Source organism: Homo sapiens, chromosome 12 (assembly GCF_000001405.40).
Source record: "Homo sapiens chromosome 12, GRCh38.p14 Primary Assembly".
Classification (NCBI taxonomy): domain Eukaryota; kingdom Metazoa; phylum Chordata; class Mammalia; order Primates; family Hominidae; genus Homo; species Homo sapiens.
In genome coordinates, this window is record NC_000012.12 from 93,223,079 (window position 1) to 93,237,474 (window position 14,396).

Genomic DNA, 14,396 nt, shown 5'->3' on the forward strand with positions numbered 1-14,396 from the left:
GTGGGATTATAGATTATTTTAATCACCTTAAATTTATGTATCTATATATTTTTTATTATCCTACAGTGAACCTTCATTACCTATGTAATTGTTAGAAATAAAGGTGGGGGTTTGGGGGCTTTATCTGGTTGGGGTTTTCTTTTCTTTTCTTTTCTTTTTGTTTTTTTTTATACAGATGAGGTCTCACTAAGTTGCCCATGGTGGTCTTGAACTCCTGGCCTCAAGCTGTCCTCCTGCCTCGGCCTTGCAAAACATTGGGATCATAAATGTAAGCTACTGTGCCCAGCCTTGGGTTTCTATTTTATTTAAATATCAATGGCTCTCATTGGGATTTAGGAGTTTTCTTTTTTGTCATCTCACTTGACCTTGCTGAGAGCACATGGGAAAACCATCAGCAGTTAAGGTTGTATAGTCCCAAAACAAAACAGACTAGACTAACGAGTGTACATTTTAATAGAGAAGGCAGAGGCAATTTCTCAATCACCATATTAGGTTTTCTTAATGAGTGTTCATGTATTCATCATTGAGTGGCAGATTGTCCCCAGAGCCTGGTTCTACTCTATAAAGTCCTGTGCGCCTCATATCCATGGTAACAAAATATCTGAGAGTTTTTATTTGCAAACTTGGCAGGCTGCTGGAAAGCAATGGTGAGGAAACATGAATATTCTAAGGTAGTACATTATTTCACAGTAGCTGTAATATGAAAATTATACCTTTATGAAAAGTATTATCTTCCTCAAAAAACTGAAAATAGGATTGTTACTGGTAGCTAATCCATATGGGTCTGCAGCAACCTCAATTCTTGCCACCACAGAAGAAAGAATTTGAGGGGCATAAGGCAGAAGGAGAGACTGAAGCAAGTTTTAGAGCAGGAGTGAAAGTTTATTAAAAAGCTTTAAAGCAGTAAAGAAAGGAAGGAAAATACACTTGGAAGAAGGCCAAGCAGGCAGCGTGACCTCCTGATTTGGGGTTTTATAGGTTGGCGTGCTTCCAGGATCTTGCATTACTTCTTCTCACTCCTGAGATCTTATTGGGAAGCTGCTGATCAGTTTCAAATGTTTTCTATCTATTAGGAGACTGCCTTTCCCTGGCAGGAGCTGTAACCAATTATTACTTTACAGAAACAGTTAACGATGTTGCCCAACACTCCTGGTGTGTGTGTGTTGCAGGGGCTGGGGCCCTCTCCTGCCCTGCTCATACCTCACTATCTTCCCACTGTAACAGGGTTACCATTGATTTGGCAGTTCCACTTCTAAGTACCTACCCAAAAGAATTGAAGGCAGGGACTTGAATAGATATTTGTACACCCATGTTCATAATAATATTATTTACAGTAGCCAAAATATGGGAGTAACCCAAATGTCCATTAGTGGATGAATAGATAAACAAAATATTATTTAGTCTTAGAAAAGAAGGAAATTCTGCACCTGCTACAACATGGATGAAACTTGAAGACATTATGCTAAGTGAAATAAGCCAGCCACAAAAGGGGAAACTGAGTATGATTCCACTCATCGTGGAACTAGCCCCTCACTCAACATTGATGTAAGATTTGTCCATGTGAATACCTGTAAATCCAGTTAATCATTTTAACTAGATAAGTCATATTCATAGAGACAGGAAGTAGAATGGTGGTTGCCAGGGGCTGGAGGGGAGGAATGAAGGGTTAGGGTTTAATGTCTACAGAATTTCAGCTTTGCAAGATGAAAAAGTTCTGAAGATGAATGGTGGTCATGGTTGTACAATAACATGAATGTACTTGCTACTGAACTGTACACTTAAAAAATAGCTAAAATAATATATTTTATGCCATGTAAATTTTATAATTTTTAAAGAAAAATCTATATAAACTAAAAAATCATTGTCAGGCATGTAATTTCTCATGTAGCTCATTTAGCTCTAAGATATATTTCAAAATTGTCTTCTTTCCACTTCCATGGTCCCTGGCCCAGTTCAGACCTTCTTCCTCTTATATGACCTGAATTACTGTAATGGCCTCCAGAACTTGGCCATGTCTTTCTCCCCTCCAACTCATTCCTTTACCTATCTCCAACTTTATCTTTCTTTTTCCATTTTATTTATTTATTTCAATAGCTTTTGGGGTACAAGTGGTTTTTGGTTACATGGGTGAAATGTACATTGGTGAAGTCTGAGATTTTACTACACTTGTCGCCCAAGGAGTGTACTTTGTACTCAATATATAGCTTTTTATCCCTCATCCACCTCCCACCCTTCCCTCTTCTTAGTCTCCAAAGTCCATTATACCACTCTATATGACTTTGCATACCCACAGCTTTGCTGCCACTTACGAATGAGAACATATAGTATTTGGTTTTCCATTCCTGAGTTACTTCACTTAGAATGATAGCCTTCAGCTCCACACAAATTTCTGCAAAAAACATTATTTCATTCTTTTTTATGACTGAGTGGTATTCCATGGTGTATATAGATCACATTTTCTTTATCCACTCATTGGTTGGTGGGCACTTAGGTTGTTTCCATATCTTTGCAGTTGCGAATTGTGCCTCAGCATTATCTTTCTATTATCCTTTCATTTACGAATTTTTTTCAGACCCACAGAAGATAATATAAGCACCCACTTACCTGCCACTCAGATTCTTAAAGATTATTATCAGTCACATCTTTTTTTGTATTCTGTGGTGACCCCATTTCTCTCCTTCCCCAGAGTAAAAACTATTCTAAAGCTGGTAAGTATCATTCTGTCCATACTTTTACACTTTTATAACATACATATATATGTGTGTATACATATTTATGTGTTGTCTGTACATGCATATGTATATATGTATATACTCATATAATATGTATATATGTATATGTATATATGTATATACTCATATAATATGTATATATGTATATACTCATATAATATGTATATATGTATATACTCATATAATATGTATATATGTATATACTCATATAATATGTATATATGTATATACTCATATAATACATAATATGTTGTTTCATGTGCTTTAAAAATCTGACACAAATGCTATTATGCACTATACAGCTTTCCTCAACTTGCTCCTTTCACTCAACATTGATGTGAGATTTGTCTGTGTTGGAACATGTAGACCCAGTTTATTTATTTTAACTGCTCTAGAGTATTCCACTGTAGAAACAGTACCATGATTTATTTATCCCTTCCTCTACTAATGGTCATCTAGGTTAGTTTCCATTTTTTGTTTTACAAACAATGAATAATCCTTCCAAATATGTAAGTTCCTCTAGGGTGTACACCTGGAAAGGCAATTACTAGATCTTAGGATCAATGAGGAGCATTTGGATACAGCAAGGGAAAACCTGGCTCACAAAAGGTCTAGAGAAGAATGTTGCTGGAATTGATTCAATGGCTAAGAGATCAGTGCCTTTATTAATCTTTTGACCTTCCCTTCATTGTCTCAACATGACTATAGCAGTTCTAAACACCACTTCCTCAGACCATACTCAAAATCAGGCAGTGAGGGAGAGTACATAAAACCATCCAGCAGACATCCTATTTCTCATTGGCTAGAAATGAGTCACATAGCAACCACTAGATGCAAGAGAGAATGGGAAAGTTAGTATTTGGGTTTTCCAGCCTCTACAGTGGGAGATGAGAAGGGAGAAGTTGTTGGAAATGGCTTTTGGGTACCCAACCAATATATCTACCACATCATTAAGTTAACTAGATATTGTGAAATTGCTCATTCAATATAGTTGAACAAATTTACACAGCCTCAAGTAATATATGAGTTCCCATCTCCCAAAATTCTGTCGATATTGTTAGATGCTTTATTTTTTGCCAAAATAATAGATGTCAAATTGTATTATCTCATTGTGGCTTTAATTTGCATTGCTTTAATTATTAGTGAAATACAGTGCCTTGTCAAATGTTATTGATTATCTAGGGTTCCTATTCTACAATTTCCTGATTATATGCTTTATCCCTTTTCCCTTGAGTTTTTTTGTCCTTTTTTTATTTTGTTAAAGAAGTTATGTTTTTTTAAATATAGTCTAGATACTGGTATTTGTCAGTTTTATGTGTTGCAAATATCTTCTCCCAATTAGTGAATTTCTTTTAGATTTGTATATAATGTCCTTGTCTTTATGATTTACATTTATTATGGTCTTGTTTTAAGAAATCTTTCTCTACTGTGAAGTCATAAAGACATTTCCTATATTTTCTTCCTTCATTTTTTAAAGTTTCTGATCTGACAAATAGGTCTTAAATCTCTCTAAATTGATATGTTCATATGAACGGATATTCATTTTTCCATGTGAACTATTTCAGCATTGTCTATTGAATAATTCACAATTCATTGATTTACAATGTCTTTCCATCATATATTATCATATATGCTTGAATCTGAGTTTATATGTCAGCAATAAATTTTTTAAATTGTGTTATTTAAATAGTCTATACCTTTACTAATTTTTGGTCTATTTGATCTACCAGTTTCTGAGAGAGATATGACAAAATCTCTTCCCTTTTTATCATAAATTTGTTGATTTCTACTGGTCAAATTTTTCTGTTACATATTTTGAGGCTAAGTTGTTGAATGTATGTAAGTTCAAATGTAGTAATATTTTCTTGGAGACATGTACCTTTTATTAATGTCTTCTTTAATCCCCAAGAATGATTATTGTCTAAAATTTTTTTGACTGATGGTGATATTGTTAATGCAGCTTTTTTTTACTCAGTATTTTTGTATAATTTTTTTCCATTCTTTGATTTTCAAATTTTTGTGTCATGTTCTAGAAGTGTACATTATATTCCTTTTTCCTCCCTATTTGAATGAAAACTTTATGTTCTGTTTTATTATTTTCATAGTTACCCTTTAATTTTGAGCAATACTGAACTAAAATTCTAAAATTAATCAATTTCCCTATTGCTCTCTGGAAAAAACTATTAGCTTCTTAAAATACTTTAATTCTAATCCCCCCTTCCATTTTCCATGCTATTATTGTCTAGCATTTTCATTCCCCCTTGCTTTAAAACCCTCTAAACATGTCTACGTTTGAGCAGTCAATACCCATGTAGACTTATCAGCATGTTTACCAATTTGCTTGTTTACCATTCTTGCATCCTACTCTTATGAGGTTATTATATCCAAAGTATATCCATTAGCAATTCTTTCAGCAATGGTTTGTGACTCTCAATGTTTCATCTTTCTTTGAAAATCTCTTTAGTTTGCCCTCATTTATAAATATTTTAGCTCAGTATACAATTCTAGGTTAACAATTATTTTCCCTCAACACTTCGATGGTATGAGTCCACTGTTTTTTGACATCTATTATTGCTGAAAAGGTACTGCTGTAAGTCTATTTACAACTATTGTTCACTAGTTGGTAGCATGTCTAACATTTTATAGCTATGAAGTTTTTCATTTTTGCCTTTGGTACTTCACTATGGTATGTCTAGGTGTGAATTTGTTCTTAGTTTTTATTAATGCTGCTTTAACCTGAGAAGATATTTTTCTTCAAGCTGGAAAATTCGTCATTATCTTTTCACACACTGCCTCTCCTACACTTTTTCTATTCTCTCCTGAAACTCTTATTAGATATCTATTGTACCATCTCATTCTATTCTTCGTGTTTTCATCTTAGTTAAGTAAATTAAGATATTTTCATACCTTTATTTATTTTTTTTCTTTCTCTAAGCTGTATTCTGGATGATTTCCTTGAATCTGTTTTCCAGTTCATTAATTTTCTCTTCAACTCTATGTAATCAGATATTAAATCAGTCCCAAATGGGTTTACTTTCAATGAACATAATTTTCATTTCTAGAAATTCTATTTGTATCCTTTTCAAATATATGAATTTTACATTAATGTTGCCCTATTCTTTCCTACACTTTGAATTTCTTATTATTAAATTATATTTATTTAATAATATTAAATTATATTATATTTATTATTATTAAAATATAAATATTTTAAAAATATTTATTATATTCTCACTCAGATTATTCTTTCATCTCAGTTTGTTGGGATGTTATTTTTCCTATTCATTGCATCTGTTAGTTATCTTACAGTGTTTTGTTTTTTATGTAACTTGTAAATATTCTTAGCATTTTGAATTCATTTTCACCTGGAATTGCCTTTTCTAAGGGAATGGTCTATATCCTGAGTTATGGGTGCTTATGTGCAGTACCTAATAAGAGGTGAAAGTTTCCCAGGTCCAGGAACAAAGTACAGTAGTCCCTTGTTATCCATGGGGGATACATTACAAGACCCCCAGTAGATGCCTGAAATTGCAGATAGTACGAAATGTTATATATACTTTGATTTTTTTCTATACATACATACCCATACCTATGATAAAGTTTAATTTATAAATTAAGCACAGTAAGAAATTAACTTTCTTTAGCATATATTTGGCTTTTCTTTGGCATATCAAAATTGCCAGCATCACTACTATTGGCCTTCGGGGCTGTTATCAAGAACAATAAGGTTTACTTCAACACAAGCACTGCAGTAATGTGACAGTCGATCTGATAAGCAAAGGCTACTAAGTGACTAACATGTGAGTAGTATATACAACATGGATATGCTGGAAAAGGGATGATTCATGTCCTGGGTGGGACAGAGTGAGATGGCATGAGATTTCATCATGAAGCTCAGGACAGTACACAATTTAAAACTTATGAATTATTTATTTCTGGAATTTTCCATTTAATATTTTTGAACTACAGTAGACTGTGGGTAACTGAAATTACAGAGAGTGAAACTGTGGATAAATGGGGACTACCGTATTACAGAGGTAGCAGGAGCTGGCCACAGAGTGTTGCAGGGGGCGGGGGGTCATCATATGTGCCTCCAGCCACAAGGTATCCTTTTTGGAATTTGACAGTGTATAAATATCATTACTATTATACCCTAGATTTTCCTAATACAGTCATAATTTCAGACATTGTCAGTCCTCATGTTAAGCCAGCGTTTTTCGCTGCAGGTTGTGAAGTATCAGTGGGTTGTGGAATCAATTTAGTGGGTTGACCTGCAGGGCTTTTGTTTTTAAAATGAAATGCAGATTAAAATAGAATAGGAAATGTCAGAGTTGCATTATGTAAGAGGAAGTGTTGGGATTTGAAATGTTTTGCAGTTACAAATGTATATGCATGTATGTGATGAAAAATGTATTTCATGCTGTGGGTCATGGTCAAAATTGTTTGAAAGCCTCTAAGTTAGATAATATGTCCAGATATGAGAATTAGAAAAAATGGAATAAATTATAAATTAGTTGATTTTGTTAAAGTATTTCTATCAGTAATCAGAGAAGCCAGCAAAACATGGTGGAATGCAAGTCCTTAGTGTTCCTAGTTTATCACTGCCCTTTTCAGAAGCATATTTCTTTCTGAATTCACTCCAACGTCTCCACAATCTCGATAGGATTTTCAGCTCTCTTTTGTGATAATCACGTAGAAGTATGTCTGTATGTGATTATCATAAAAGGAAAGCCTAAGTAGTAAAGAATATCAACAAATAGCAGATTGCTTTAATATTTTAGTCTACTTAAGTAAACAAGGATTTTTCCTACCCCTCTGGCTCTTTAAACTTATAAGCTTACATGTTGATATGCCTCAGAAAATTTTATCTTCTCAACCTCTTGGGTTAAGAGAGGCCTAGTGAGGACAACATGGGCGGTCGACACGCTTGCCCAGGATGAAGCAGTCAGCTAGTTGATACCATGTGAAACCATGGGACCCCGTGTTAACAAATCTAATTTTCAAAGAGAAATGAGAAATTTTTATTTTTATGTGAAATATCCTGTTTTTAAATGTTGGGGCCAGGTGCGGTGGCTCACGCCTGTAATCCCAGCACTTTGGGAGGCTGAGGTGGGCAGAGCACTTGAGGTCAGGGGCTCGAGACCAGCCTGGCCAACATGGTGAAACCCCATCTCTACTAAAAATACAAAAATTAGCCGGATGGCTGGGCACGGTGGCTCATGACTGTAATCCCAGCACTTTGGGAGGCCGAGGCATGTGGATCACCTGAGGTGGGGAGTTCAAGACCAGCCTGATCAATATGGTGAAACCCCGTCTCTACTAAAAATACAAAAATTAGCTGGGTGAGGTGGTGTGCGCCTGTAGTCCCAGGCACTCAGGAGGCTGAGACAGGAGAATTGCTTGAACGCGGGAGGCAGAGGTTGCACTGAGCCGAGATCACTCCACTGCACTCCAGCCTGGGTGACAGAGCAAGACTCCATCTCAAAAAAAAAAAAAAAAATTAGCCAGGCATGGTGGCACATGCCTGTGGTCCCAGCTACTTGGGAAGCTGAGGCAGAAGAACCACTTGAACCCGGGAAGCAGAGGTTGCAGTGAGCCAAGATCATGCCACTGCACTCCAGCCTGGGTGACAGAGCGAGACTCCATCTCTAAATAAATAAATAAATAAGTGTTGGAAATTTATTCAAAATAATTTCAAACACTGTGAAAGACAATGTGTCCACAGGCAGCCCCATTTGTGATCTCTTCCCCCAGAAGCATACTAGATAAAACTTCACAACGATTACTCCTCAGAGCCTCCCTAACTTTACCCCATTCTCACCTTCCCTCCCTCACCCTCACGTCAACTGCTCTCCACTTTGAGTTACTAACGCAATTGATATGTGCCTCTGTTACACTGCTTATGACATTATATGGTAGTTATGTTGTTGCTGTTTGCTGTTGTTTTCTTTTAACATATCCATCAGCTCTGCTAAAAAATAATTAATAATTCAATGTGGAATCCTGAGGTTGGGGCTGTCATAGTTTGAGGAAATCAGTTTGAATCCCAGCCCTGATGAGACAACTTTGGGTGGGTTTTCACATCTAAAATGTGAGTGAATTATAATAATGGATAACATGGTTGTTGCATTGTCAGCCTTGCAGGAGAAGCCATCACCTCGAATTCACATGTGCAGGGGACACTGCAATAGAACTTTCTTTGCCTTGATGTAAACTGATGTCAATTGGACAGATGTTTCTTGGATACCATCTATTCCCTTTTGCTGCAGCCTCTTAATGGCCCTCTCAAGCTTCTCAAACTAGGCATGTTCCATATGCTGGGAAAAGTCATGCTCTGTTTGACAGTCACCTTCCGAGGGCCTCTGATAGCAGAACTCGGTGAGGATTATGGAGATAGATTGATGGGGAGATCAGCCATCTTGCTGCCACACACACCTTGACAGAGAGATTTACTGCCTCTCCAATATCGCTTCCGAATCAACTTTTTTTTTTTTTTTTTAATGGGTTCTCACTCTGTCGCCCAGGCTGGAGTGCAGTGGCACAAACATGGCTTACTGCAGCCTCAGCCTCCTGGGCTCAAGGAATCCTCCCACTTCAGCCTCCCAAGTAGCTGGGACTACAGGCATATGCCACCACACCCAGCTAATTTTTGTATTTTTTGTAGAGACAGGGTTTCACCATGTTGCCCAGGGTGGTCTCAAACTCCTTGGCTCAAGTAATCCACCAGCCTCAGCCTCCCAAAGTACTGAGATTACAGGCCTGAGCCACTGCACCCAGCCCAAATCAATTTTTGCTGTTCATTCCCAAGAGGAGAAAACATTAAAAGGTTTTCCTTTTTTCCATTTTTCCTTTCTTTTCCCCTCAACCTCCCTTCTTCACCCTTATACCATCCTCCTTCCTTCTGGCACTGGTTCCCCCTCAAGCAAAAAGATAACGTGTACCTCCAGGATTCTTGATAATCAAACACCATATGATTTCTATCAGCTGAATGCCTGGCAAAGCAATACTTCCCTCATCAAAAATTAAAACTGGAGTGGCATTTACTTTCCTCCAATATCACCTAAGAAGTTATAGTAGGACACGAAGCCAGAAACTTCTCAATCTCAGCTTTTAGTTGAGATTATTTTGCCCATTGGATTATGGAGCTCTTTCAATGGTGAAGTTAGTAAATTTAAATTATCGGGAAATTAACCTTTAACCCCATTGAAATGGTCAGAGTAATTCTCAATCTACAGAAGGAAAAAACAAAACATGGCAACTGAGTGATTTGTTCTATTACAAATCCTGTACAAGGAATAATTTGGAAACTGGGTGGCTTGTTCCAACTGACTATAAAAGTTGAGCAAATAGTCAAAATGCCTATTATGCTAATTTTTCTTTTTTTCTGGATTCTATGCATAAGGCCAGTGTGAACTTAAAGCTCTAGTTCTTTCATGCCTGTAATAAACCAAAAGTTTCTGCTCAGAGCAGAGTACAGAATTAGAATTGCCCATTTGTCCTTTTTTACTATTCTTTTAAGACTTTTGCAGGTTCACAAATGATATAACAGGACACTCATGAACGCTGAGCTACAGCAACAGAGACACATGTGTATCTGTAGTCAGACCTTCCCACAAGGCTTCAGGAAGAAACCTTGAGTGCAGACTGATTTTTTTAAATTAAGATTATGGGTAGTAGGCCAGGCGTGGTGGCTCACGCCTGTAATCCCAGCACTTTGGGAGGCCAAGGTGGGTGGATCACAAGGTCAGGAGTTTGAGACCAGCCTGATCAATGTGGTGAAATCCCATCTCTACTAAAAATACACACAAAAAAAATTAGTTGGGTAGCGCGCACCTGTAATCCCAGCTACTCAGGAGGCTGAGGCAGGAGAATTGCTTCAACCCGGGAGGCAGAGGGTGCAGTGAGCCAAGATTGCGCCACTGCACTCCAGCCTGGGGCAACAGAGCAAGACTCTGTCTCAAAAAAAAAAAAAAAAAAAAAATTATGGGTAGTGGGTGGAATATTGAGAGTTTATATGAGCCAGGCACTTTCTAGATGCTTTATAAGGTCCCATCATCTTCACAACAACTCCAAAAGGTAAATACTAGCATTATTTGCATTTTGCCAGTAAAGAAAATGAGGCATAGGGAGGCTGAAAGGCCCCTCTACTATGTGTCTGAATTGGAACCAGGAAGGCCCATTTCAAAGCCCACAATCTTGAACACTCCGCAGGCTAAAGCCTCAGAACCATGTCTTTCTCTCAATCTGGTTGGTTAGTGATGCAAGAAAATGGATAGTCACATATACCTTTGTGTCATTTATATTCCTTTTGTGGAGAAATATGCTTGCATTTATTTATGACAAAAATCTGGCTGGGTGCGGTGGCTCACGTCTGTAATCCCAACATTTTGGGAGGCTGAGGTGGGCAGATCACCTGAGGTCAGAAGATCAAGATCAGCCTGGTCAACATGGTGAAACCCCATCTTACTAAAAATACAAAAATTAGCCAGGCATGATGGAACATGCCTGTAATCCCAGCTACTCAGGAGGCTGATACAGGAGAATTGCTTAAACCAGGGAGGCAGAGGTTGCAGTGAGCCAAGATTGCACCACTGGCTCTCCAGCCTGGGCAATGGAGTGAGACTCTGTCTCAAAAAAATAAATAAATAAACATAAAATAAAGTAAAATAAATAAATAAATAAAAATTAAAAAATCTAGAGTGGCTAACCTAGATGGAAGTTTGCCTGTGGACACACGAAAGGGGGCTGGCCACTCCATGGTTTTAGGCAGGTTTCTCTAAGGGGACAAGGTTTGAGAAAAGCTCTCAACAAAGAGAAGGATGGGGGTTGGCAGATGTGGAAAAAGAGCTTCCTCTTGCCTGTTCCTGGCACCTCGGCCCCAACCCAGATGTAGAGAGCTTGACTTCAGAGACTGCTGCCAACCAGGCAGGAATGGGGCCAGGGGTGACAGCTGGCTTGGGAAAGGTGGAGGCTGCCCAAACTTTAGGAAAACTCTTTATCTTGGCAATGGCAGGTCTTCCCATTCATCATGGAAAGGTAAATATAGGAAGCCATGAGATAACCATCTGCTAATGAGGGTTTACTTTACTAAGGCAGTTCTTACTTACAGATCAATCCCTGGCAAGTAGTTGGTATTTCCCATTGTTAGGGAAAATAGATTTGTCCTCCAAGATACTCTCAATACTTCAAATCTGACACTAAATAAAAGAACAAACAGTGTTTTCTATGCTCACACTCAGCACAGAACACTTCTGTGACCAGATGTGTGGCCTGTTCCCATGCCAGACAATTCTCCAATTCCCACGCCAGACAATTGTAGGACAACTGGGTGTCCTACAATTTAATTCAATTCAGACACTATGTACCTGGAAGTAGCGTCAGATCCCACAGGTTCAGGGCTCAGTACCACAAGACTTCTCCCCACCTCTCCCCCACACTTCAGACACCAATCATGAGCCCAAGTTGTCACTGGTGCCTCTGACTGATTGGCTGTAAATCAGAGCTTCCCAGAACCCATCTCAGGTTCCATCGTTTCCTAGAATGGCTCACAGAACTCAGAAAAACATTTTGCTTACTAGACTACCAGTTTATTACAAAGGGTACTGATAGGGACAGGAGGCAGAGAAATTCTAGGCAGAAAAGGGCAGGGTCCCTGGTGAAGCCCCACCTTCAAGCATGGAACCATAACCTAAAGTGAAAACGTGCATTCCTGCTTTCCCGCTCAAATGTTGCCTTTTCCAAAACCACACACGGCCCTCTCCACCCCCCATCCTGTACCCATAAAAACCCCTAACCCAACTGGTGGAGGGCAGAGAAGGGGAGAAGAGAAGAAGCAGATGGACGTCAGAGACTGCGGTTGCACATCAGAGAGAAGCAGCTTGACTTTAGAGGGACAGCTTGACGGTGTTGCTTCAGAGAGGAGTCCAGCTGGGTATGGCTGTACTCCAGGGGAAGATCACCTTCCTGCTCCATCCCCCTTCCAGCTTCCCTTCCCACTGAGAACCACTTTCATTGGCAATAAAATCCTCCACATTCACCACCCTTCAATTCGTTCATGCAACCTGAGTTTTCCTGGACACCAAACAAGAGCTTGGGTGCCACAAGTGCAGACACTAAAGGCTGTTATGCTGATCCTCTGCCCTCATGAATAGGTAGAGGGCCCACTGAACTGTTTAACACTTAAGGCATCTGTGGACAGCAATGCTAAAAGACCACTGTAACACACGCCCTCTGGGGCTTCATGGGTCACAGGGACCACACCCCCTCTCCGCCCAGATGCTGTCACAGGGCCTCACAGAGTTTTGCTCCTGCTGGCGCCCAAAAACGCTTACTCCAGCTCCTGCACCCGCTCACCTGCATGCTCCCCCTCCCTCAAGGGGTTAAGAGCTGCAGGCTGAGTAAGGGAAGCACCCCATCACAAGGGTCAAGGGAAATTTCTTGTCTCAGTACAACTCAGAAACAGCCAGATGGAACAGATATGTTGCCCTTGCATATGGGAAGATACTGGACACAGGGTGCAGAGCTTCCTTGCCCTCTCCAGGTATGCCACCCACCAGGCACCTCCGCAAGGTCAGCAACCCACAAACTCTCTGAGCCCATCCTTCTGAGTTTTTAAGGAAGCTTCATTACTGCATAGGCATGATCGATTACATCACTTGCCATCAGTGATCAACCCCCTCAGCCTTCAGCCCCTCTCCCCTTACCTGGAGGTAAGAGTTGAGTGGTGGGGCTGAAAGTCCCAACCCTCTAATCACATGATTGTTTCCCCTGGCAACCAGCCACCCTACCTCCACCCCACCCTGCTTGTCCAGAGGCCATCCAGAAGCCCCCAGCCTTCAGTCATCTCATTAACATACAAAAAGACACTTATCACTAAGGAAATTCCAGGATATTTAGTTAGTTAGTTAGTTAGTTTTTGAGACAGAGTCTCACTATGTTGCCCAGGCTGGAGTGCAGTGGCATAATCTCGGCTCACTGCAACCTCCATCTCCTGGGTTCAATCGATTCTCCTGCCTCAGCCTCCCAAGTAGCTGGGATTACAGGTGTGCACCACCATGCCCAACTAATTTTTGTATTTTTAGTAGAGACAGGGTTTCACCATGTTGGCCAGGCTGGTCTCAAACTCCTCAAGTGATCTGCCCACCACGGTCTCCCAAAGTGCTGGGATTACAGGCATGAGCCACCACACCCAGCCAATTCCAGGGGTTTTAAGAGCTGTCTGCCAGGAAATGGAGGCAGTGACCAAATATATTTTTGTTACTATATCACACCATGTACATTTTTAAAGGCCTGAGTGTCATTTCTAAAGAAAGGAGGGGGTAGTAGGGGCTGTCAGAAGTGGGTGCAACATTCTAAACACAGTTGCCCTCACTGGCATTATAAATCATTGCTGTTCATTTTTAAATAACTGTGCACAAGAAAAAAAAACAGCTTTAGAAACCTTTACAAATTTAGGTAAACTTGTCTGGAGTTTTTGGTTGTTTCGTTTGTGAAAAGCTGTTTTCACAATCCCAAGCATTGATAAATGAAAGCTACAGCATGCCTGCATAACCCAGGAAGGCTCTGGACAGATGACCTAGCTGAGAATGAGCCAGCACTTGTATCCACAGTTTCTACCTTCTAAAGATAGAAATAACTGGGCACGGGGCAGGGAAGGGTGTCCCA

The 14,396-nt window shown here is 39.4% G+C and overlaps 1 long non-coding RNA gene across 1 annotated transcript in view, besides 1 other annotated feature; it reads right to left on the reverse strand.

The window, feature by feature from the left end:
• LOC643339 (uncharacterized) overlaps window positions 1–14,396 on the reverse strand; it is a 373,979-nt gene that overhangs the window by 219,321 nt on the left and 140,262 nt on the right. The window lies entirely within an intron of this gene.
• Window positions 8,861–9,061: a silencer, noted in NCBI's record as "peak1892 fragment used in MPRA reporter construct". NCBI's record gives its function as "represses an SCP1 promoter by STARR-seq MPRAs in K562 erythroleukemia cells {active_cell/tissue: K562}" and the evidence as "EXISTENCE:reporter gene assay evidence [ECO:0000049][PMID:32103011]".